Here is a 21,930-nt window from a genome sequence, read left to right on the forward strand (position 1 = left end):
CATAGACCAATGGAACAAAGCAGAGAACCCAGAAATAGATCCATACGAATATGCCCAACTGCTTTTTAATTAATTAATTTGTATTATAAATTCACATAACATGAAAGTTACCATTTTAACCATTTGAAAGTTGAAAATTCTGTGGCAATTAGTACATCATGATATTGTACAACAGTCATCACTGTCTTAGTTCCAGAACTTTTTCATCCACTCTTAGGTGGAAACCCCATACTCATTAAACAGTCACTCCTAATTTCCCCTTCTCTCCAGCCCCTGGAAACCACCAATCTGTTTTCTGTCCCTACAGATCTGCCTATTCTGTGTATGTCATATAAATGAAATCATACAATGTGTGGCTCTTTCATGTCTGGCTTACTTAGCATAGCATTTTTTTTTTTTTTTTTTTTGAGACGGAGTCTTGCTCCGTCACCCAGGCTGGAGTGCAGTGGCGCGATCTCGCTCATTGCAAGCTCTGCCTCCCGGGTTCATGCCATTCTCCTGCCTCAGCCTCCCGAGTAGCTGGGACTACAGGTGCCCACTACCTCGCCTGCCTAATTTTTGTATTTTTAGTTGAGACGGGGTTTCACTGTGTTAGCCGGGATGGTCTCGATCTCCTGACCTCGTGATCCACCCGCCTCGGCCTCCCAAAGTGCTGGGATTACAGGCATGAGCCACCGCGCCCGGACAGCACAGCATTTTTGAGGTTCATCCACATTGCAGCAGGCATCAGTACTTTATTCCTATTTACAGCTGAATGATATTCCATCATATGGCTATACCACATTCTATGTATCCATTCTTCTGTTGATGGACTTTTGGGTTGTTTCTACCCTTTGGCTGTTGTAAATGGTGCTGCTATGAACATTGGTGTACAAGCTTTGGCTTGAATACCTGCTTTCATTTCTTTTTGGTGTATCCCCAGAAGTGAAATTGCTAGATCATATAGTAATTCTATATTTAATTTTTTGAGGGACTGCCAAACTGTTTTCTACAGTGGCTGTACCACTTTCTGTTTCCATCAGCAACTTGTGGGGATTCCAATTTTTCTTTTCTTTTCTTTTCTTTCTTTTTTTTAAGATGGAGTCTCGCTCTGTTGCCCAGGCTGGAGTGCAGTGGCGCGATCTTGGCTCACTGCAAGCTCCGCCTCCCGGGTTCACGCCATTCTCCTGCCTCAGCCTCCCGAGTAGCTGGGACTACAGGCACCTGCCACGACGCCCAGCTAATTTTTTGTATTTTTAGTAGAGACAGGGTTTCACCGTGTTAGGATGGTCTAGATCTCCTGACCTTGTGATCTGCCCGCCTCGGCCTCCCAAAGTGCCGGGATTACAAGCCTGAGCAACCGCGCCCGGCCGGGGATTCCAATTTTTCTACATTCTCACCAACACGTGTTATTTTCTGTTCTTTGATAATAGCCATCCTAGCTGGGGTAAAGTGGTATCTCATTTGATTTTAATTGGCATTTCCCTAACGATTGATGATGTTGAACGTCTTTTCATGTGCTTGTTGGCCATTTGCCTATCTTCTTTGGAGAAATGTCTATTTTAGTCCTTTGCCCAGTTTTTAATTGGATTGTCTAAGAGTTCTCCATATGTTCTGGATATTAGACCGTTATCAGATATGTGATTTTTCAAATGTTCACTGGGGGGATTTTTCTCTCTCCTGACAGTGTCCTTTACTGTATAAACATTATTTTATTTTATTTATTTTATTTTATTTTATATTTTATTTTATTTTATTTTATTTTATTTTATTCTGAGATGGAGTTTCACTCTTGTTTCCCAGGCTGGAGTGCAACAGCGAGATGTTGGCTCACTGTAACCTCTGCCTCCCGGGTTCAAGCGATTCTCCTGCCTCAGCCTCCCGAGTAGCTGCGATTACAGGTGTCTACCACCACGTCCGGCTGATTTCTTGTATTTTTCGTAGAGACAGGGTTTCATCATGTTGGCCAGGCTGGTCTCCAACTCCTGACCTCAGGTGATCCACCTGCCTTGGCCTCCCAAAGTGCCGGGATTACAAGTATGAGCCACTGTGCCTGGCCTATAGAAACATTTTAATTTTGATGAAGTCCGGTTTATTTATCTGATGTTTTTGCCATTATATCTAAGAAAATACTAACAAATCCATGTCATGAAGATTTCTCTCAATGTGTTCTTCTAAGAGTTCTGTAGGTTTTGCTTTTCTATGTAGGTCTTGGATCCATTTGATTTACTGCCCAACTAATTTTTGACAAAGATATAAAATAAATTTAATGGAAGAAAGACAACCTTTCAACAAATTGGACACCCATGGAGTAGGGGCAAAGAGCCTCCGCCTAGGTCTCACATCTTCTGTAAATATTAACTTGGAAGGGATCACAAAGATTTAAATGTAAACGTAAAATTATAAAACATTCAGAAAAAAACGTAGGAGAAAATCTTCAGGATCTAGGGCTGGGCAAAGAATTCTTAGACTTGACTCCAAAAGCACAAGAATAGAAATGTAAAAGGAAAAATTGATAAATTGGACTTCTTCCAAATTGAAGGCCGGCCTTGTAACTGAAGCATATGGTCCTGCTACACCCAACACTGGGCTGGTGGGTTAACTGGATGGAAAAATATGTTTATCCAAGTATGGCCTGAGGTCTCCAAGGGCCATTCTGTGCCCTGCTGCAGTCAGCACCTGCTGTCATCCCCTCCTCCTAATTTTAGGCTTCCTGCTATTTGCAGTCCCTGGAGGATGGGCTGTTGACTCTGGGATCAAAACAGAAAAGCAGGTGAGCCCCATGGCGGGCTGTGCAGCTCCGGATGGGTGTCCTGCCCAACGCCAGAGCACTGCATTCTCCAGGGCATTTGACTTAGTGTCCCGGTGAGTTCATGGCCTGCTGCTGACCGCGCACCGACCCCCAAAGTCACTCTTTGCACCTGTAGGAGCTTTGGTCCGTTCAGCATGACCAGACTGGAGAGGGAGGAGACAGGCAGGGTGGGCAGAGAAACCGGAGTGACTCAGTGACTCAGAAAGTGGGACGCTCAGCGTGAGAGGTGTATCAGTCTGTGCTGCTGTAATAAAATCCTTAGAGTGGGCAATTACAAACAATAGAAATTGGCTGGGCACGGTGGCTCACGCCTGTAATCCCAACACCCTGGGAGGCCGAAGGGGCAGATCACAAGAGAGGCTGAGGCAGGAGAATCACTTGAACCTGGGATGCGGAGGTTGTAGTGAGCCGAGATTGTGCCACTGCACTCCAGCCTGGGTGACAGAGCGAGACACTGTCTCAAAAGAAAAAAAAAAATAGAAATTTGTCACTTACAGTTCTGGAAGCTGGGAAGTTCAAGATCAAGGCGCCACATCTGGTGAGGGCCTGTTGCCTGTTTCCTGGTTCCTAGATGGCACCTTCTACATGTCCTCACATGGAGGAATGGACACAGGGGCTGCCTCAGGCCCCCCTCCTTTTTTTTGAGACAGAGTCTTTCTCTATCGCCCCAGCTGGAGTACAGTGGCGTGATCTCGGCTCACTGCAACCTCCACCTCCCGGGTCAAGTGATTCTCCTGCCTCAGCCTCCCGAGTAGCTGGGATTACAGGTGCGCACCACTCCTGGCTAATTTTTGTATTTTTACTAAAGATGGGGTTTCTCCATGTTGGCCAGGCTGGTCTTGAACTCCTGACCTCAGGTGATCTGCCCACCTTGGCCTCCCAAAGTGCTGGGCTTACAGGTGTGAGCCACTGTGCCCAGCCATTAGGCCCCTTTTATACAGTCAGTAATCCGTTCCTGAGGGCAGAGTCCTTTCGACCTAATGACCTCCCAAAGGTCCCACCACCTACTACTATCACCTTGGGAGTGAAGCTATAACATAAGAATGCTGGGGGGAGAACAACATTCAGCTAATAGCTGGTGGGCTGCGGAGGGGGCAGAGGGCAGAGCTCTGTTCTCCCAGGGCTTGTCCACCGAGAGGGCCCCAGCCCACCAGCTGGGCCTTTTGGTAAGATCGCAAGGCAGATGGTCAATTCTGCAAAAAAGAAGCCTGGGTGCGTGGCTCACGCCTGTAATCCCAGCACTTTGGGAGGCCGAGGCGGGCGGATCATGAGGTCAGGAGATCGAGACCATCCTGGCTAACACAGTGAAACCCTGTCTCTACTAAAATACAAAGAAATTAGCCTGCTGTGGTAGCGGGCGCCTGTAGTCCCAGCTACTCGGGAGGCTGAGGCAGGAGAATGGCGTGAACCCGGGAGGCGGAGCTTGCAGTGAGCCGAGATCGCGCCACTGCACTTCAGCCTGGGCGACAGAGCGAGACTCTGTCTCAAAAAAAAGAAGAAAAAAATCTGGCACCACTTCCCCTAGTTCACTGAGAAAAGTGACGCCGTCTGGACACATACCCACAGTGGGACGCAGTGGAGAGGCCAGACCAGGGAAACTGAGGCCCAACCAGTGGGGCAGGTTTGAGGCAAGAGTAGTAGGAGGGGAGGGGGCAGGGGGTCCCCCCTCCAATGCCCTTGGCTGAGCACGGGTTCTTCTGAGCTCACCGGTGCTCGGAGCTGCCTCCCTGACTTGGACAACCATGTGGAATGGCCATCCCGCCCTCAACAAGTAGAGGCAACTTCCTCTCTACAGTGAGGAAATTGAGGCCCAGTGAGGAAGCCTGTGGCCAGGAGGGTGCTAGGGGTCCTCACAAAGTGTCCTGAGGGGACCCACCCCTCCCTTGATGCCAGACCACCTGGCCAGGCTGCAGGAGCAGGGCCCAGGGCCTCCAGGAGCCAAGGCCTGGCCAGGGCTCCATGTTCCCCGAGGCCTTTCTGACTCAGGCTCCTGGCCTCTGGGAGCCTGGCCCTTCCAGGGAGCCACAGGGGATGGAACCTCCATCTGGAGCAGGGGAGAAGGCATGGAGTCCAGGCTTGTTTGAGGGGCCAAGGCTGAGCCCCCTCCAGCCCCTTCCCTGCTCTGCCATTAGGACCTGGCTCCTCCCAACTTCTATACACATCACATGGGCCGCGTCCCCCCACTTTGCAGGCTGAGAACATCTGACGTGACCTGGGCACCTGAGGGGCACCCGGCACAGCAGGAGCATGGACCTGGAGAACCTCTGTTCTTCCGTGCATCAAGGTCCGAGTCGTGGTTCTGCCCCTTAGCAGCTGCGTGACTCTGGCCAAGCTCCTCCCGGCAACAGGCCTCAGTTTCCATATCTGTGGATGGCACTAATCACGATGATGACCTGAGGAGACCGTTCTGCTGATGGAGTGAGCAGAATCACAAAGCTCTCAGGGCCTAGCCCGGGGCATGGCAGGTCCGCAGGCGTCCAAGGGCACAGCACAGATGTGGGAGAAAGGGCTGCGGGGCCCTCCCGCTCCAGCCGAGGACACGGGGCTCAGGGATGGAGCCCAATACTGTCCCAGAGCTCTGCTGCCCAGGTGCCTCTTGGGGAAACTGAGGCTCAGTCCCACAAAGGCATCAGTCCCACTGAAGACAGGGCCGAGTCCCCAGCCCCTCACCCCCCTCCAGGGGTCTGTGCCACCTCCAGGGAGCCGTGGCGGCTCCATGTCACCTGCGGGCAAGGGGCTGGTGTGGAAAGCCCCACGGCATGGTGGAAAGTCCGAAATTCTACAGGGGCCTCTTTGTTAAACCTCCATGCAAGAGGCTGGGTGACGCCTGCCCACAGGGGTCAGGCCCCAGCCCAATGACACAGGTGACCCGCAAAGACTGCAGGTCTTTTTTAAAAAGTGAAGTGCAGACTTGGATCTCGCTTTGCAGTTTTTAATTCCCCTTTAACCATCTCTGGGCTAAGGCATCCATTGACTCACTTAACCATCTGGGGAGGGAAAAGCCACCGGGTTGCAGGGGGTGACTTTGGGGCAGGATGGCCTCTGAAGGGGTGGGTTGCCCCTCCACACCTGTGGGTGTTTCTCGTTAGGTAGAACGAGAGACTTGGAAAAGAGACACAGACAAAGTATAGAGAAAGAAATTGGGGGACCAGGGGACCGGCGCTCAGCATACGGAGGACCCCCGCTGGCCTCTGAGTTCCCTTAGTATTTATTGATCATTTTTGGGTGTTTCTCGGAGAGGGGGATGTGGCAGGATCATAGGATAATAGTGGAGAGAAGGTCAGCAGGTAAGCACGTGAACAAAGGTCTCTGCATCATAAACAAGGTAAAGAATTAAGTGCTGTGCTTTAGATATGTATACACATAAACATCTCAATGCCTTAAGGAGCAGTATTGCTGCCTGCTTGTCCCACCTCCAGCCCTAAGGCAGTTTCCCCCTATCTCAGTAGATGGAATATACAATCGGGTTTTATACCGAGACATTCCATTGCCCAGGGACGGGCAGGAGACAGATGCCTTCCTCTTGTCTCAACTGCAACGAGGCGTTCCTTCCACTTTTACTAATCCTCCTCAGCACAGACCCTTTACGGTGTCGGGCTGGGGGACGGTCAGGTCTTTCCCTTCCCAGGAGGCCATATCTCAGGCTATCACATGGGGAGAAACCTTGGACAATACCTGGCTTTCCTAGGCAGGGGTCCCTGCGGCCTTCCGCAGTGTTTTGTGTCCCTGGGTACTTAAGATTAGGGAGTGGTGATGACTCTTAACGAGCATGCTGCCTTCAAGCATTTGTTTAATAAAGCACACCCTGCACAGCCCTTAATCCATTTAACCCTGAGTTGACACAGCACATGTCTCAGGGAGCACAGGGTTGGGGGTAGGGTTACAGATTAAAATGGAGTCTCTTATGTCTACTTTCTATGCAGACACATTAACAATCTGATCTCTCTTTCTTTTCCCCACAGCCTCAAAGGAGAGGAAAGCCAAGTTGCTGGGAGCAACGGTTACTGGTCATCCCAAAGCTGTGTGCGCTGGTTCCCTGGCACCCCAGGGGCTTTTATGCATGAACTGTGCAGCCAGTGGGCCCAAGGGTTGCCATTGAACTTGATGTTAGTGAGCTCTCCCTTCGTGAGACCCCTGCCCATGGATGAGCAAGGAGAATGGGGGTGTTTCAGGAGCAGACAGGGATCCTGTGCAAAGCTGGGCTTCTGTGCAACTTTCGCTTGCAGTTATTTAAATATTTTTGCTGTAAATACAGAACTGCAGGGGAGAGGGCAGGAAACCCAGCGAGCAGCAGCCCGGCCTGGCTGGGGACAGGATGTGTCTGTTGGAGCGGGGACCGGCAAGGCAGGCATGCAGGCAGGGGGCTTCCCTCTCGGGGTCTTCGGAAGGCGCAGTGCAGGGAGTGAGAGACGCCCAGGCCTGGGCAGCGAGAGGGCCCTGCTCCCCGCTCAAGGCTCCCAGGACATTCCACACAGGAGCCAGCCTGTTCCAACCCTGCACTGCCTGATACTCCACAGCCACCACTGAGATGGACCCCCTCCCCCTCAGCTCCCCATGACGTCCCCAGCACCTGACCCCAGGCTGACCACCTCGGCCACCACCTCTGGCCCCACCTTCCTCCCCAGGTTTGTTCCCAAACACCCCTAGAGTCTTTTCCGGAGCAATCTCAGACGTGCAGAACGCTCAGGGGGACCCTGGGCCTGAAGGCGGTAGGAGAAACCGAGACCGACCCCTGGTCTAGAGGAGAGGTGTCTGCCGCTCTCCATCCTGGACTCTGGCTGCCCAAAAGCAAACGGCACGCCTGCCCACGTGGGAATCTTGGTGGCGTCTCTCACTGCATCAGTTAGCCCCCAGCCCAGTGCTGCCTGGATTCAGGCTTCCTGGTACCTTCGTCCACCCTTCAGCCCTAATCCATGCTGGCCAGGTCATCTCGTTCTCTGGCTCAGTGGGAACACTCGTGCCCAGAGACCTCTCGTGGTTCTCTGCAGCCTGCACACAGGGCCTGCTTCCCTGGCTTGACCGCACAGACAAGGGGACTGTTACCAAGGCCTCCCACTGAGGCCACCCCCCCTCCAGGCCATGCCTGCGGGGCCACCACAGCCTCAGCATCATTGCAGGCCCCAGGCCTCTGCACCTGGTCTTGTTTTACTGGGGGCACTGTCCCCACTCACGTCCACCTGGGACCCTCGGCTCCTGTCCACTGCAGCTCCCCTCCCGGACACCTTCCCAGATGCCCCCGGAAGCTCCTGTCCAGGCCACAGCATCCCTCAGCCTCTGTCACTGGTCCTAGGAAGACCCTTTGGGAGCTCTCACTCAGGGCCACACTCAGGACCCCCGTTGTGGGGCTGGCCGCCTTCCTTCTAAAGCACCTGGAGGAAGGAAGGAGGGGGTCAATGCGAGCCTCAATCCCCAGGCGAGTGTGCCCCTTTTAAAGATGAGGGAACCGAGGCTCAGAGAAGGAAAGGACTTGCCTGGCGTCACACAGCTAGCCTAAGATGGTGAGGTCAGGAGCTCCCTGGCAACACCCAGGCTGCCGTACCGTCTCCTGCATCAGACTGAGCCTCCATCGGGCTCCTCCCACAGCCCCAGGCGGGCCCCTGAGTAGGGGCTCTCAGCTTGTGTGGAGGTCCCCCAGGAACACCACCCCGATCCAGCCTCCATGGAGGCTCTTGCCGGCCACTGGGAGGGGCCGGTGCACCCTGGGCAGCCCCTGCCAGGGCCCTGAGACCCGAGCCTCCCCGCCGAGGGCACCTGTCTCGGCTTTGCCCCATTCGAGCAGGGCCCTCGCCGAGGCAGGACAGGGCCACATTCGGAAGTGAGAGTTCTCTGAGTCCCGCACAGAGCGAGTCTCTGTCCCCAGCCCCCAAGGCAGCTGCCCTGGTGGGTGAGTCAGGCCAGGCCCGGAGACTTCCCGAGAGCGAGGGAGGGACAGCAGCGCCTCCATCACAGGGAAGTGTCCCTGCGGGAGGCCCTGGCCCTGATTGGGCGCCGGGGCGGAGCGGCCTTTGCTCTTTGCGTGGTCGCGGGGGTATAACAGCGGCGCGCGTGGCTCGCAGACCGGGGAGACGGGCGGGCGCACAGCCGGCGCGGAGGCCCCACAGCCCCGCCGGGACCCGAGGCCAAGCGAGGGGCTGCCAGTGTCCCGGGACCCACCGCGTCCGCCCCAGCCCCGGGTCCCCGCGCCCACCCCATGGCGACGGACGCGGCGCTACGCCGGCTTCTGAGGCTGCACCGCACGGAGATCGCGGTGGCCGTGGACAGCGCCTTCCCACTGCTGCACGCGCTGGCTGACCACGACGTGGTCCCCGAGGACAAGTTTCAGGTGGGCTCCCCGCCCGCCCCCCGCTGCCCCCAGGCCCTGTGAGCCAGGGATAGTCCCCGGGGAAGTTCCAGGAGGACCCCGCCCCTCCAGATCCCCAAGCCCCTCCAGCCTTCCCCAACTCCCTCCCCACAAGGAGCCAGGGGCGTCCCTGATGACAAGTTAGAAGTTGGTCCCCTTCCCCCAGCCGTCCCCACACCTCACCCCCAAGCCAAGGGAATGGCCTCCAGGTTCCCCCAGCCCCACCCTCAACACCCCTACACCACCACCTGACTCCACCACAAGCCGAGGAGATGGGCGTGGAGCTGTCCAGGTCGCCAGCGCCTCTGCCTGGGAGCTCCACCCTCTAGTCATGATGGAGATGGGCAGGCCGCAGGGTGTGGGGGACCATGGCAGGGACCCTCATGCCACCCCACTGCAGGAGACGCTTCATCTGAAGGAAAAGGAGGGCTGCCCCCAGGCCTTCCACGCCCTCCTGTCCTGGCTGCTGACCCAGGACTCCACAGCCATCCTGGACTTCTGGAGGGTGCTGTTCAAGGACTACAACCTGGAGCGCTATGGCCGGCTGCAGCCCATCCTGGACAGCTTCCCCAAAGGTGGGTCCTGGTGGACTCAGCCATGCTGGGGGCCTGGGGCAGCTGCTGTCACCTGCTCAGCCCAGCTGGACTGGAACCGGAGTGGTGTTTGAGGAGCCCGTGGGTGATGTTCCAGGACCGTCTTGGATCCTAAGAGGCAAAGGGGCCAGGCCTCACCTGTCTGGCCAAGGTGTCCAGTTCTGGGGCCCACCCTACCCCTGGAGAAAACCCTGAGGTTGGGACCCTGCTCCTGCCCCTGAGCTGCAGATGTGGACCTCAGCCAGCCCCGGAAGGGGAGGAAGCCCCCGGCCGTCCCCAAGGCTTTGGTACCGCCACCCAGACTCCCCACCAAGAGGAAGGCCTCAGAAGAGGCTCGAGCTGCCGCGCCAGCAGCCCTGACTCCAAGGGGCACCGCCAGCCCAGGTACCCTCCCTGCAGGGGAAGCCAGCCAGGGTCTCCAGTCTTCCCGGGCTTCCCCGGGAGCCCACGCCCCCTCCCCACCCGGGCTCCCACCCACTGGGTGTGGGGCCAGCCTGCCTGGGGCTGTGGGGGTCTCCTCTGGGTACTAGACCCACACACTGGACCAGCCTCTCAGCTCCCTCCTGCCTGAAGGCTGAGCTCCCCGGAGCTGGTGAAGTAGGCGGGCGGGTCTCATTTCCCTTTTACTGATGAGAAACCAGAGCCCGGCAAAGGGACTACCCAGCACTGGACCGCCCCCTCCACGCCCTCCCACCGCGGGCCCCTGCCCACCGGCACTCACCCCCACTGAGAGGGGAGGCCAGGCTGCCCCCAGCTCCCCCATTCAGGCTCTCAACTGAAGGCCAAGCCCCCCAAGAAGCCGGAGAGCAGCGCAGAGCAGCAGCGCCTTCCACTCGGGAACGGTGAGCGGGGCCCAGTGGGAGCGCCTCCCTTCTCCCTGGCCAGGGGCAAGGGGTCAGGGGTCAGAGCAGGGCCTGCCCTCTGAGACCCTGTCCTAGGGGCTGGGGACGTGCTGGCCTGGTGTGTCATTCCAAGGGCCTAAGCTGCACCACCAGACCCAGGAAGGGGACACCTTGGGTCTAAGCATGATCTTGCCAGTCGCCCCTGCCCCCACTGCACCCTGGTTCTGGGACCCCCTTCTCAGGCACCTTCTCTGCCCGTCCACTCCCTATCCTTCAGGACCAGCCTAGACATAGCTTCCTCCAGAAAATCATCCCTGGCCCCCAGCTGCATGCAGGCTGAACCCTTCCTGTCCCCTTCTCCTTCCTTCCCAGGGCACTGGACTCCAGAGACCCCCTATCTCCCTGAGGGCAGAGCCTAGGAACTCTGTGTCCCTCCCGGCACAATACAGGGCCCATGTCATGGGGGGGTGGGTCTGGTCATTGGTCATGCCTTCCTATCCATTGTGCCAGCTCTGCTGACACTGCCACCCCCCAGCACACGCACACTTGGGTGCACACACGAACACACACATTCTCATGTCTCTGCACTTACCTGTGGGCTGTCTGCACATGGCAGGGCTGGGTCCCCTCCTTGGCCTGCCCTGGCTGGAAGGAAAGGGCTCTGCAGCCCAGTGCTGCCTGCTTCTGGCATAGAGTATGTGCTTGGGAACAGTCTTCCCCACGGGTGACCCCAATGGGTGTTCCCTTTCCCAGGGATTCAGACCATGTCAGCTTCAGTCCAGAGAGCTGTGGCCATGTCCTCCGGGGACGTCCCGGGAGCCCGAGGGGCCGTGGAGGGGATCCTCATCCAGCAGGTGTTTGAGTCAGGTAGACGCTGTGGCGGGGAGATGGGGCTGATGGGGAGACCCAGGCTCCAAGATGGAAGGAGGACCACGCCCCTTTGCATCCTGGTGGTCCCACAGCAGACCGGACTGTTGCTCAGGTAGCCAGAGTTTCTGCCTGTGGTTCTGCTGACTTTGGAGGAGGAGGGTGAGCACTGAAGTCTCCCTGTCGGGGGACCTTCTGCAAGGCCAGCGGTCCAGGCCCACATCCCCACCCGGGATGTACAGCACTCCCCAGTCACCTCCATCCATGTGCATGGGCCCTCCTGGGCCATGGGGTTGCATCCTTAGAAAGTTCTGCCTGTGCTGCTGAGACCCTCCAGGGTATCGGCATTCTTCAACCAGGACAGCCTGTAGCATAGCGTCCTTGCCCCCCATACCCTGGCCAGCCTGCAGCATCCTCGCCCGCCATTCCCTGGCCAGCCGCTGACCCCATGCAATCACCAGTGCCATCTGACCAGGGCACAGCAGGGCCGCTGGTGGCAGACCCACCGTGCCATCGGGGCATTCCATCTCAAGTCCCTGACACGGTGTCTCCTCGGTGCTGGACATGGGCTGGGAACACCAAGCACAGCCAGGGCCCTGGTCTTGCACCTCTGGATGGTCCCAAGGCCCACTGTGTTACTTCCTAAGGCTGTTGGTTAAATTGGCACAAACTGGGAGGCTTGAAATGACAGAAATGCCAACATCGAGGTGTCTCGGGGCCACACTCCCTCTGGAGGCTCCAGGGAAGAATCCTTCCTTGTGTCTCCCAGCTGCTGGTCATTATGGGGGTACCCCTGTGCTCCTTGTTCCTGGGCTCAGGACCCACCGCTCCAGCCTCTGCTTCTGTGGTCTCACAGCTGTCTCCCACGTGTCCTCTTTATAAGGACACCAGTCATTGAACTTATGGTCCAGTGTGACCTCATCTTAACTAATCACATCTACAAAGACCCTGATTTCAAGTAAGGTCACACTCTGAGGTTCTGGGTGGACGTGAACTTCGGGGGACGCTGTTGAACACCCTGGTGTAGATCCAGGACAATCCCCGGGCCCCAGACTCGACTGGGGTGGGGGCGGGCTGGAGGAATGCAGGCTGTGGGAACTCCACCTGTCTCTGCTAGACCCCACCCTGGGGCCTACACGACTGCCAAGGCAGGTCCTGCTGGGCGGGTGAGCCAGGACCAGCCGGCATCTCCTCCCAGGCGGCTCCAAGAAGTGCATCCAGGTTGGCGGGGAGTTCTACACTCCCAGCAAGTTCGAAGACTCCGGCAGTGGGAAGAACAAGGCCCGCAGCAGCAGTGGCCCGAAGCCTCTGGTTCGAGCCAAGGGAGCCCAGGGCGCTGCCCCCGTAAGCACCTGACCTTCCCTGGGGAGCCTGGCTCTTGATGCCCCCCGCCCCAGGAACAGCGTTGCCTCTGGGGGAGTGGCTCTGCTGGGGGCTGGGGGCTGCTGCCGAGAGACGCCTGGTGCCACAGCCATGTGCACCCTCGCTGCTGAGGCTGCCCCCATTGCTGACGCCCCTCTTCCTTGCAGGGTGGAGGTGAGGCTAGGCTGGGCCAGCAGGGCAGCGTTCCCGCCCCTCTGGCCCTCCCCAGTGACCCCCAGCTCCACCAGGTAATGCCCTAGACCACAGGAGAGGCCCCTGTCTGCCCTTGCTCCCCTCGGGTGGGTCCTGCTGCCTCTGCCTTTACCTGGGCACTCAGGGATGAGCACCGGGGCCTGAGCCCCTACCCACAGGGTACAGCTCTTTTTCTTTAATAGACAGTATTTTTTTCCTGATAATACGCAATGGTAATAGTTTAAATGAGTCAGAGAAAGTGAGGTCTTCTCAGGCTCTTAAGAGCATGGCGTTTGGTCCAGGCTGTACCCGCTGCTCTCAGCTGGGCCCGTGGGTGGGCCGGGCGCCCCTGCTATAGCCAGGAGGTCAAGGATCCACTGGGAATGCCATGCTCATCTTTCGTCCCCAGCATGGTTTCTTAATGGGGTAGAAGCAGTGTGGGGGGTGCCTGCCGTGGTGGGTTACAGATCTTGACCACTTGGCACCAGGGGCTCTGTGGGGCCCTGGCACTTAGCAGTGACAGGAGCCAGTCCTGCCCTGCAGGAGCACCCGGGCTGGTGGGCGTCTGGGGGATTGTTAGAATGAGTGAGGTCATTGCCGTGCAGGACCAGCCTAGCCTGGCTGTCTGGGGGGATTCTGGAGGAAGTGGTACCTGGGAGACCCCTGAAGGCACAGCAGGCACCATCCAGGCAGGGCACAAGGACGGTGGGGGCTGCAGGTGGAGGATTCAGCAGGCGCTGAGGTCGGGAGAGACCTCCCTGGGCCTGGCCCCACTGCCCTGTGAGGAAGGGTTCATGTGGTTGGTGTACAGTTCCGGGGCCCCTGGAACGCAGCAGCCTGCAAGAAACCGGGTTTTCTTCCCAATAGGGATGGCCCCGGGGGGTGTCTGTTGGAGACCAGATGGATGGGGAACAGGTGGTCAGGGCAGAATTTCAGGCCCTGGCAGCATGGGAGCAGGGCAGAGACTGGGGAGTTCAGGTACCCAGAGATGCTGCTGGGGGAGCTGTTTTGGGAAGGAGGTGGCTCTCAGGAGGGTGCTGCACCCCAGCCCAGTCTGCATGGGCGTCTCTTGCCTGTGCCAGAAGAATGAGGACGAGTGTGCCGTGTGTCGGGACGGCGGGGAGCTCATCTGCTGTGACGGCTGCCCTCGGGCCTTCCACCTGGCCTGCCTGTCCCCTCCGCTCCGGGAGATCCCCAGGTGAGCCTGCACCTCTGCCAGCGCAACCAGGCCACCCCGGTTCACGGCCGCCTCCACCCACTGACCCTGAAGGGAAGCCACCCCAAGCCTCTCCCATCCAAGATGGAAAGGGGTTCTGAGTCAGGTCACTGGGCCGTGGGGCCGGGGCCTGGGGTTTTCCCACCCTGCCACCTGCCTCCCGGTCTGGCCACACCTGCTGCCCAGCCTGGACAGCTGGGCCCCTGAGGGCAGCAAAGCAGAACAGAGGCCCAGGGCGAAGATGCCACCCTGTCCAAGCTCATCCCAGGCTGCAGCCCACGCCCCCATGGGTAGCCGGCCCCCACCCCCAAGCCCCACCCCAGAGTCCCACTCCAGACAGGGCTGGGGAGCACAGAGGCCACAGAGCTGTGCCCCCCAGGGCAGGTGGGAGTTTGTCCACCAATGCACAGGACGCCGGGCTTAGTGGGGGCGGGAGGCCTCCTCTGCGTTCACATCCCGGTGCTCCTTCCCCACGGCCCACCGAGCCCTGCCCCCATTCCAACCCCACAGGACGTGGCAGTCTGTGGGAGGAAGAGCTCTGGGTGCAGTGGGGACCCACGTTCAGGCGAGGCTCTGCCCCAGCCCCTGAGTGGCCGTCATCAGGCCCCCTCTCAGCCTTGTGCCTCATCACTAGAATAAGGGGCACAGTGGGGGTCATTGCTCGGCTCCTGAAGCCGTTCCTCCTTGCCGTCTCTTTCTGCCCTTGATCACCTCCCCATTCTGCTGGGTGCCATTCCCCTTAACAGGTGGGTCAGTTTAGGGAGGCCCCCGGCAGGGCCCAGCCCTGAGAGGCAGGCAAAGCCACCAGGGCTCGCAGGTGTTGGGGATTCCTGGGGTTCATCAGAGAGCACGCCAAGGGGACCCTGATCACGCTGGCCAGGGCCACCCCACGAAGGGTAAATGTCCCCCTGCTGGGCTCTCCCTTCCTGTGTCTCTGCCCATCTCTCTGCTGTGCCTCGGTTCCCCCTCTGTGAAAAGACATGGTCGGAGCCCTGGAGCTCCACCCGTGGGTTTGGGGATCTGTCACCCGCTGTCTTGTTCTGCATGTCTCTGACTGGTGGACACACGAGCAGTGGGACCTGGAGGTGCTCCAGCTGCCTGCAGGCAACAGTCCAGGAGGTGCAGCCCCGGGCAGAGGAGCCCCGGCCCCAGGAGCCACCCGTGGAGACCCCGGTATGGCCACGCCCCCTCCTAGCCGGGCCACCCCTCCTGTCCACATGGCCACGCCCCCTCCTAGGCTGGGCCACCCCCTCCTGTCCGTCTGTCCCCTGGAGTCCTGTGGGACAGGACTGCCCCAGCCATAGCACTATGTCCCCCATGCCCAAGCCCGGTCCTTGTGGTCTCCTGCAGTGGAGTCCCCATCATGGTTCCTGTGGGCCTAAACCCAGCTCTCCTGGCTGCGGGTCCACCCCGGGGGGCACTATGAGCATTGATAACGGCCCCGGAAGATGTGTTCCTTGTTCTGCTGCTGTGAGGGTAGTAGGTCTACTGTGCACAGACCCAGTGTTCCCTCTGACAGCCCTGAGGGCCAGGGGGCCCCCCGTGTGTAGACGGGGGAGGAGGGAGGACCACAGAGCCAGGAAGTGCCACAGCCTTTCCCACTCAGTGTGGACGCCTTCCACCATGCCAGCCCTCCGCCCCCACCATGCCAGGCCTCTGCCCCCACCCTGCTGCCCTGGGTTTCAGGGTCCCAGCAGTCACTGACTCCTGGGTGGTGCCGGGCAGGCGCCCGCTGCCCCTCTGATGCTGACCCTTGGGTTCCAGCTCCCCCCGGGGCTTAGGTCGGCGGGAGAGGAGGTAAGAGGTCCACCTGGGGAACCCCTAGCCGGCATGGACACGACTCTTGTCTACAAGCACCTGCCGGCTCCGCCTTCTGCAGCCCCGCTGCCAGGGCTGGACTCCTCGGCCCTGCACCCCCTACTGTGTGTGGGTCCTGAGGGTCAGCAGGTGAGCGGGGAGTGGGGGTCAGGGTGGGCTCTTCAAGGAGCCCAGGACCTACGGGGCGGATGAATTCACCTGAAACAGGAGGAGAGGGAGGCCAGGCGAGAAAGGCTCCGGGAGGCACAGGGCCTGGGGCTGTGGGGGGAGCGTGGGGGGCTGCGGGGGGAAGGGGACGCTCCTAGACCTCCACTCCAGCTCCTGGCCCTGGGCATTACTGCTCCCCCCACAAGGCAGGACAATGAAGGGGGGGATGTCCCAGCACACGTGGGAGCCCTCCCCTCCCTGCCTCAATTCCCTTCCCTGCACCCCTGTGGGCACCGCCTTTCAGGAGACTCCCGCACTCAGCCCCAAAGGAGGCCAGGCCCGCCAAGCAGGAGAGAGGTGCGGGCGCCAGGCTTGCAGGCAGCAGCCTGAGGGTGCTTGGGTCGCCCCTGCCTCCTGGGGATGGGACTGGTCCCGCTGTCCTGCAGCCTGCGTGGCACCGTGAGGCTCCTCACTTGCGCCTAGACCCGCCGTCCAGCCCTGGGTGGTCCCAGGGGAGAGCGCACAGGGCTCGGGTTCGGGTTCAGCTACATTTCCCCCGGCCCCCCGCGTCACCCCGCGCTGTTGCCTCCCACAGAACCTGGCTCCTGGTGCGCGTTGCGGGGTGTGCGGAGATGGTACGGACGTGCTGCGGTGTACTCACTGCGCCGCTGCCTTCCACTGGCGCTGCCACTTCCCAGCCGGCACCTCCCGGCCCGGGTGAGTGAGCGTGGTCGGCGGGGAGGCCTGAACCCACACCCACACCCTACACCCCACCCCACACTCCCCACCCACATCATACAGCCCACAACCACACCCCACCCACACCCCACACTCCCACCCACACCTTGCACCCCACCCCACACCCATGCCCTGCACCCACACCCTACACTCCACAGCCACACTCCACCACACCCCCACCCACACCCTACTCCCCACCTCATACCCTGCACCTCACCACACTCCACAGCCACACCCCACCCCACACCCCACACTCCCACCCACACCCTACACCCACCCCACACCCTACACCCAACCCAAACCCACCCAAACCCACCACTCCCACTCTCCACCCACACCCACACCCCTTCCTCACACCCCACACCCCCATCCCCCACTCACCACCCACGCCCACACCCCACACCCCATACCCCGGAGGTGGCACTCCTGCTCCCCCCCAGGGCTGGCAGCCCCTCATCCTCTGCTGCAGGACGGGCCTGCGCTGCAGATCCTGCTCAGGAGACGTGACCCCAGCCCCTGTGGAGGGGGTGCTGGCCCCCAGCCCCGCCCGCCTGGCCCCTGGGCCTGCCAAGGTCAGTGCCGCAGGGGCCCTCCATGCATGCCGGTGCTGGGGGTGGGGAACCCCTTGGGTTGGTGTTGGGGGAGCACATCTCAGGGCAGACCCTGGGTGCCAGCTTCGAGGGCTTGCACCAGACGCACTGACCATGTGCTCATTATCTGTAGAAAATATTTCCCCTTTAAACCAATTCTTTTTGGCAACTTAAATATAGTTAAAAAGGAAGCTCCCCCCGAGGGTTGGTGGCTGACGTCACGGTTGGCTGTGTGGCCGCCTCACAGCATGAGCCTGAGAGTCCTGCCAGGGCTCCCTGGTGGGGTGAAGGGAGAGCGGGAGCGCCCGGCCTGCAGGAGCAAACCCCCACCCTGTCTGACCCCTCCAGGTTGTCTCACCCCCAGCCCTCCCTGGGGCCAGGATCCACCCCACTGTGTGGCCAGAGCCCTCTCAGAGAGGCAAAGTGACCCCGGGTCCAGCCAGTAGCTCTTCCTGTCCTCCTGCTCCGGGGTCAGAGAGGACCTGGGTGGCGCGGAGACCCCTGACTGCTGGGGCGGCTGGGCTTGCCCTGGAGCTGGGTGTGGGGGAGGCCCGAGTCGCTGCTGCAGGAGCCTCCGGGGGGGTGGCCTCTTGCCCTGACCGTCCCCAGCAGAGGCCTCCTGAGCACATCCTGGCCACCGAGGAGCCTTTAGGGATCCTGGGGTGATGACACGTCCCACCTGCTCCACTGGCCCATGCTCTTTCCCAGCTGTGCCTCCGCCCCGTATACACCGTGTGGGTGACAGGCCACCCCGGCGTGGTACTCCCCAGGAGGGTGACAGCCTACCCCAGCGTGGTACTCCCCGGGCAGGTGACAGGCTTCCCCGGCATGCAGGCTCTGGCCTGGCATGGCACAAGCCTCAGACCCAGCCCTGCCCTTGGGGCTTTTGTGGAACAGTGGCGTGGCCCACAGCTGTCACTGTCCCCTTCCTTCTAGAAGCCTCCCTCCTCACACCACCCATCTGGAGTCAGGAGCCCAGCCGGGCATATACGCAGATGCCCCTCCCTAACCCCAGGCAGCTTTCCTGCAACTGCTCCCGCAGCGGGTACCTCGTCATTAACCTCCTGGGTTCTGTCTCTGAACAGCAGAGACCTCTTTCTTGTCATCGTGATGTGAAATGTAACGCCATGTCAGAGGAAAAGTTCTGGCTGGCCTTGGCCTCCCCCCTCAGCCTGCCCCCTTCCTCCAGGGTGGTTGGACGTGGCCCCAGACCCCATCCTGAGCAGCTCTCCCACCCCCTGGGAGCATCCTTAGGACCGGGGAGCATCCAGGGGCTTTCCCCTCCAGACCGGGCAGCCCCTCCCTCAGCCATGCAGGGCTGCCGGGCCTCGCAGCGCCAGTGTTCACCCGAGTGGAGGAGCTGGGATGTGGCTGTTTGGGGCCACAAATGGGGAATTCCACAGGGTTCAATGTAATATGGTCTCCTCTCTGCTGGGGGTGCCTGCCTGGGGACCTTCTCCCACTCTGGTCGCTCACCTATAGTGTGGGCTGGCCCTGGTGGTGCTTGTCGGGGGCGGGGGTGGCATGGACCAGGCACTTTCCTCTCTGGGCCTCAGACTTCCCCTCTCAGAGTGGGACTCCTTGCTGGTTCCCTGAGCTCCCTCGTTTTCCCCAGGAGGCCACACAGTGTGGAGGCTGTCTGGGGGCCGTGGGCAGCTGGCCGTGGGCAGGACCCTGGGGAGGCAGCCCCAGCCCCATCATGCCCACGCAGCCCTGTGCCCCCACCCCCAGTGGAGCTGGGTGTAAGAATTCCCATCTCAGTGTGGGGGAAACACCCCCGCGGCCCCTAGGCCCTGCGGCCTCTGTACCCCCACCAGGGCTGTGGGAGTTGGGCTGACCTCTTCTCTTTACTGGGTTCCAGGATGACACTGCCAGTCACGAGCCCGCTCTGCACAGGGATGACCTGGAGTCCCTTCTGAGCGAGGTAACGCCTCCCCTGGCCTCCTGGTGCTCCTCCACTCCCCCTCCCCTGCCTCAGCCGGCACCCAGGCTCCCCACTCTGGGGGAGGACTGCCGGCCCCCACTGCTCTTGAGCCGTGGAAACTCAGGCTGTCCCTGCTCCACCCACCAGGAGCCCCAGTGCTGCTGAGCACCTGGCACCCCCCACAGGAGCCCCCCTAGCCCCCTTGCAGGAGCCCCCCCCGGCCCCTCCCCCTGCGGGAGCCCAGTGCTGCTGAGCGCCCCCAGCCCCTCCCCAACAAGAGCCCCCACACGGCCCCTCCCCTGAGGGCCTGCACCCTGGCAGGCAGAGGCTCGAGCACCAGGCTCAAGATCCACTTTCCCAGGGAGGGTGGGGCGTGGGAGTGGGGGGGGGGTCCCAGACCCCGTCCCTCTAAGATTTGCTTGCCCCTCCCAACTCAGGCCTCTCTACGCTAAGATGGGCAGGTAGAATCTGTGGGGAAAATGTGACTTTTAAGGGCTCTGTCTGTTTTTGCCAAGAGGATAAGCTCCTTCAGCCTCCACGGGTTCTCCTCAGTGTCTGATGTGGCACCCGGGGGTCCCAGCTGACCATGGGGCAGGGGTTCTGCCCTGTGCAGTGGCCGTGCCCCACACACCCTGACCGTGCAGGTGTCTGCAGAGCCCCAGGGCCTGAGAGTGGGCCAGGGGGCCCAGCGCTGGGTAATGGAGCTGCCCCTCTGGATGGGGTCCCCGGGTATAGCTGGAGAAATGAGCGACGGGCTCACAGCCTCTCCCGGGTGGCGGTCTTATTCTGCTGGCATCGTGGGGCCCGTGGCCCCATCCTGTGGGAGCATCAGGCTCCTGAGCAGAATAAGTAGCTGGCCCCGACCCCCCCACCCTGAAGGAGCCACCCGAGGAGGCAGAACTGCCATGAACTGCCATGGGGATGTGCCCTGGGCTTATAGGATGTGGTGAAGTACACAGGACAGGGTCCTCGGTCTGGCCTGTGCCATGGGGACCTTGGGCCTCAGTTTCCCCACCTTTGATGGAATACGGTGAAGTGCACAGGACAGGGTCCTCCCCAGACTGGCCTGTGCCATGGGGCCTCGGGCCTCAGTTTCCCCACCTTTGACTTAGAGGGAAGGTTGGATGGTGACTTCTTGTAACGATGGCCATGATTCTGTGGCTGCGGCGGGGGCGCACCTGGAGGTTCTCACCGTCACTCTGTCCCGCAGCACACCTTCGATGGCATCCTGCAGTGGGCCATCCAGAGCATGGCCCGTCCGGCGGCCCCCTTCCCCTCCTGACCCCAGATGGCCGGGACATGCAGCTCTGATGAGAGAGTGCTGAGAAGGACACCTCCTTCCTCAGTCCTGGAAGCCGGCCGGCTGGGATCAAGAAGGGGACAGCGCCACCTCTTGTCAGTGCTCGGCTGTAAACAGCTCTGTGTTTCTGGGGACACCAGCCATCATGTGCCTGGAAATTAAACCCTGCCCCACTTCTCTACTCTGGAAGTCCCCGGGAGCCTCTCCTTGCCTGGTGACCTACTAAAAATATAAAAATTAGCTGGGTGTGGTGGTGGGTGCCTGTAATCCCAGCTACATGGGAGCCTGAGGCATGAGAATCACTTGAACTCGGGAGGTGGAGGTTGCAGTGAGCTGAGATTGCGCCACTGCACTCCAGTCTGGTCGGCAAGAGTGAGACTCCGTCTCAAAAACAAAACAAAACAAAAAAACCACATAACATAAATTTATCATCTCGACCACTTTTCAGTTCAGTGGCATTCACATCTCATGTAACCATTGCCACCACCATCTGCAGAGCTGTTCCAGCTTCCTGAATGGAAACTCTGGCCCCATGAAACACTCACTCCCCATTCCCCTCCCAACCCCTGGCACCCTCCACTCTACTTTCTGTCTCTATGACTTCTCCAGGGACCTCATGGAAGTGGAATCACACAGTATCTGTCCTTTTGTGTCTGTCTTATTTTACTCAGCATGGTGGCCCCAAGGTTCATCCATGTTGTAGCATGTGCCGAAATCTGCTTCCTTTTTTAAGGCTGAGTAATATTCCAGCACATGGATGGACTGCATTGTGTTCATCTATGCTTTCCTCAGCAGACACCTGGGTGCTTCCACCTTTTGGCTGTTGTGAGTAATGCTGCTATGAATATGTGTGTGCAAATATCTGTGTGAGTCTTTGAGTAAAATCGCTGGATCACATGGTAATTATATTTTTAATTTTTTGAAGAACTGCCATCCTGTTTTCCACAGCAGCTACACCATTTCACATCCCCACCAACACTGCATGAGGGTTCCAGCCTCCCCATATCCTTGAAACAATTACTATTTTCTGCATTTTTCTTTCTTTTCTTTTCTTCTTTTTTTGAGACGGAGTTTCGCTCTTGCTGCCCAGGCTGCAGTGCAATGGCGCAGTCTCCACTCACTGCAACCTCTGCCTCCTGGCTTCAAGTGATTCTCCTGCCTCAGCCTCCTGCATAGCTGGGATTACAGGCGCACACCACCATGCCCGGCT

The 21,930-nt window shown here is 59.4% G+C and overlaps 1 protein-coding gene across 1 annotated transcript, besides 9 other annotated features; it reads left to right on the forward strand.

Moving 5' to 3' along the window:
- Nucleotides 5,423-5,502: an enhancer, noted in NCBI's record as "active region_18564". NCBI's record gives its function as "activates an Ori minimal core promoter by ATAC-STARR-seq in GM12878 lymphoblastoid cells {active_cell/tissue: GM12878}" and the evidence as "EXISTENCE:reporter gene assay evidence [ECO:0000049][PMID:35858748]".
- Nucleotides 5,919-6,522: an enhancer, noted in NCBI's record as "NANOG-H3K27ac hESC enhancer chr21:45702827-45703430 (GRCh37/hg19 assembly coordinates)". NCBI's record gives its function as "activates a minimal SCP1, AML or CMV promoter by ChIP-STARR-seq in naive H9 embryonic stem cells {active_cell/tissue: H9 hESC(naive)}" and the evidence as "EXISTENCE:reporter gene assay evidence [ECO:0000049][PMID:30033119]".
- Nucleotides 6,523-7,124: an enhancer, noted in NCBI's record as "NANOG-H3K27ac-H3K4me1 hESC enhancer chr21:45703431-45704032 (GRCh37/hg19 assembly coordinates)". NCBI's record gives its function as "activates a minimal SCP1, AML or CMV promoter by ChIP-STARR-seq in naive H9 embryonic stem cells {active_cell/tissue: H9 hESC(naive)}" and the evidence as "EXISTENCE:reporter gene assay evidence [ECO:0000049][PMID:30033119]".
- Nucleotides 7,125-7,728: an enhancer, noted in NCBI's record as "H3K27ac-H3K4me1 hESC enhancer chr21:45704033-45704636 (GRCh37/hg19 assembly coordinates)". NCBI's record gives its function as "activates a minimal SCP1, AML or CMV promoter by ChIP-STARR-seq in naive H9 embryonic stem cells {active_cell/tissue: H9 hESC(naive)}" and the evidence as "EXISTENCE:reporter gene assay evidence [ECO:0000049][PMID:30033119]".
- Nucleotides 7,729-8,330: an enhancer, noted in NCBI's record as "H3K27ac-H3K4me1 hESC enhancer chr21:45704637-45705238 (GRCh37/hg19 assembly coordinates)". NCBI's record gives its function as "activates a minimal SCP1, AML or CMV promoter by ChIP-STARR-seq in naive H9 embryonic stem cells {active_cell/tissue: H9 hESC(naive)}" and the evidence as "EXISTENCE:reporter gene assay evidence [ECO:0000049][PMID:30033119]".
- On the forward strand, nucleotides 8,851-21,623 carry AIRE (autoimmune regulator). Its single transcript, NM_000383.4, has 14 exons — nucleotides 8,851-9,113; nucleotides 9,532-9,706; nucleotides 9,953-10,108; nucleotides 10,492-10,566; nucleotides 11,320-11,433; nucleotides 12,632-12,777; nucleotides 12,963-13,043; nucleotides 14,070-14,185; nucleotides 15,277-15,376; nucleotides 15,968-16,150; nucleotides 16,764-16,885; nucleotides 17,376-17,478; nucleotides 19,358-19,420; nucleotides 20,631-21,623. Exons 1-14 carry the CDS (start codon nucleotides 8,982-8,984, stop codon nucleotides 20,700-20,702), a joined length of 1,638 nt encoding a protein of 545 aa, NP_000374.1. The 5' UTR covers nucleotides 8,851-8,981; the 3' UTR covers nucleotides 20,703-21,623.
- Nucleotides 19,255-19,424: a silencer, noted in NCBI's record as "silent region_13378". NCBI's record gives its function as "represses an Ori minimal core promoter by ATAC-STARR-seq in GM12878 lymphoblastoid cells {active_cell/tissue: GM12878}" and the evidence as "EXISTENCE:reporter gene assay evidence [ECO:0000049][PMID:35858748]".
- Nucleotides 20,554-20,613: an enhancer, noted in NCBI's record as "active region_18565". NCBI's record gives its function as "activates an Ori minimal core promoter by ATAC-STARR-seq in GM12878 lymphoblastoid cells {active_cell/tissue: GM12878}" and the evidence as "EXISTENCE:reporter gene assay evidence [ECO:0000049][PMID:35858748]".
- Nucleotides 20,984-21,043: an enhancer, noted in NCBI's record as "active region_18566". NCBI's record gives its function as "activates an Ori minimal core promoter by ATAC-STARR-seq in GM12878 lymphoblastoid cells {active_cell/tissue: GM12878}" and the evidence as "EXISTENCE:reporter gene assay evidence [ECO:0000049][PMID:35858748]".
- Nucleotides 21,374-21,483: an enhancer, noted in NCBI's record as "active region_18567". NCBI's record gives its function as "activates an Ori minimal core promoter by ATAC-STARR-seq in GM12878 lymphoblastoid cells {active_cell/tissue: GM12878}" and the evidence as "EXISTENCE:reporter gene assay evidence [ECO:0000049][PMID:35858748]".

This window comes from Homo sapiens, chromosome 21 (assembly GCF_000001405.40).
Source record: "Homo sapiens chromosome 21, GRCh38.p14 Primary Assembly".
NCBI lineage: Eukaryota > Metazoa > Chordata > Mammalia > Primates > Hominidae > Homo > Homo sapiens.

Excerpts from the sequence above, each read along its gene's own strand:
- AIRE (NM_000383.4), top strand. The coding sequence starts at position 8,982 with ATGGCGACGGACGCGGCGCTACGCCGGCTTCTGAGGCTGCACCGCACG. Across the intron at positions 11,434-12,631 it reads CCAGCAGGTGTTTGAGTCAG|GCGGCTCCAAGAAGTGCATC; the intron begins GTAGACGCTGTG and ends ATCTCCTCCCAG. Across the intron at positions 13,044-14,069 it reads GTGACCCCCAGCTCCACCAG|AAGAATGAGGACGAGTGTGC; the intron begins GTAATGCCCTAG and ends TGCCTGTGCCAG.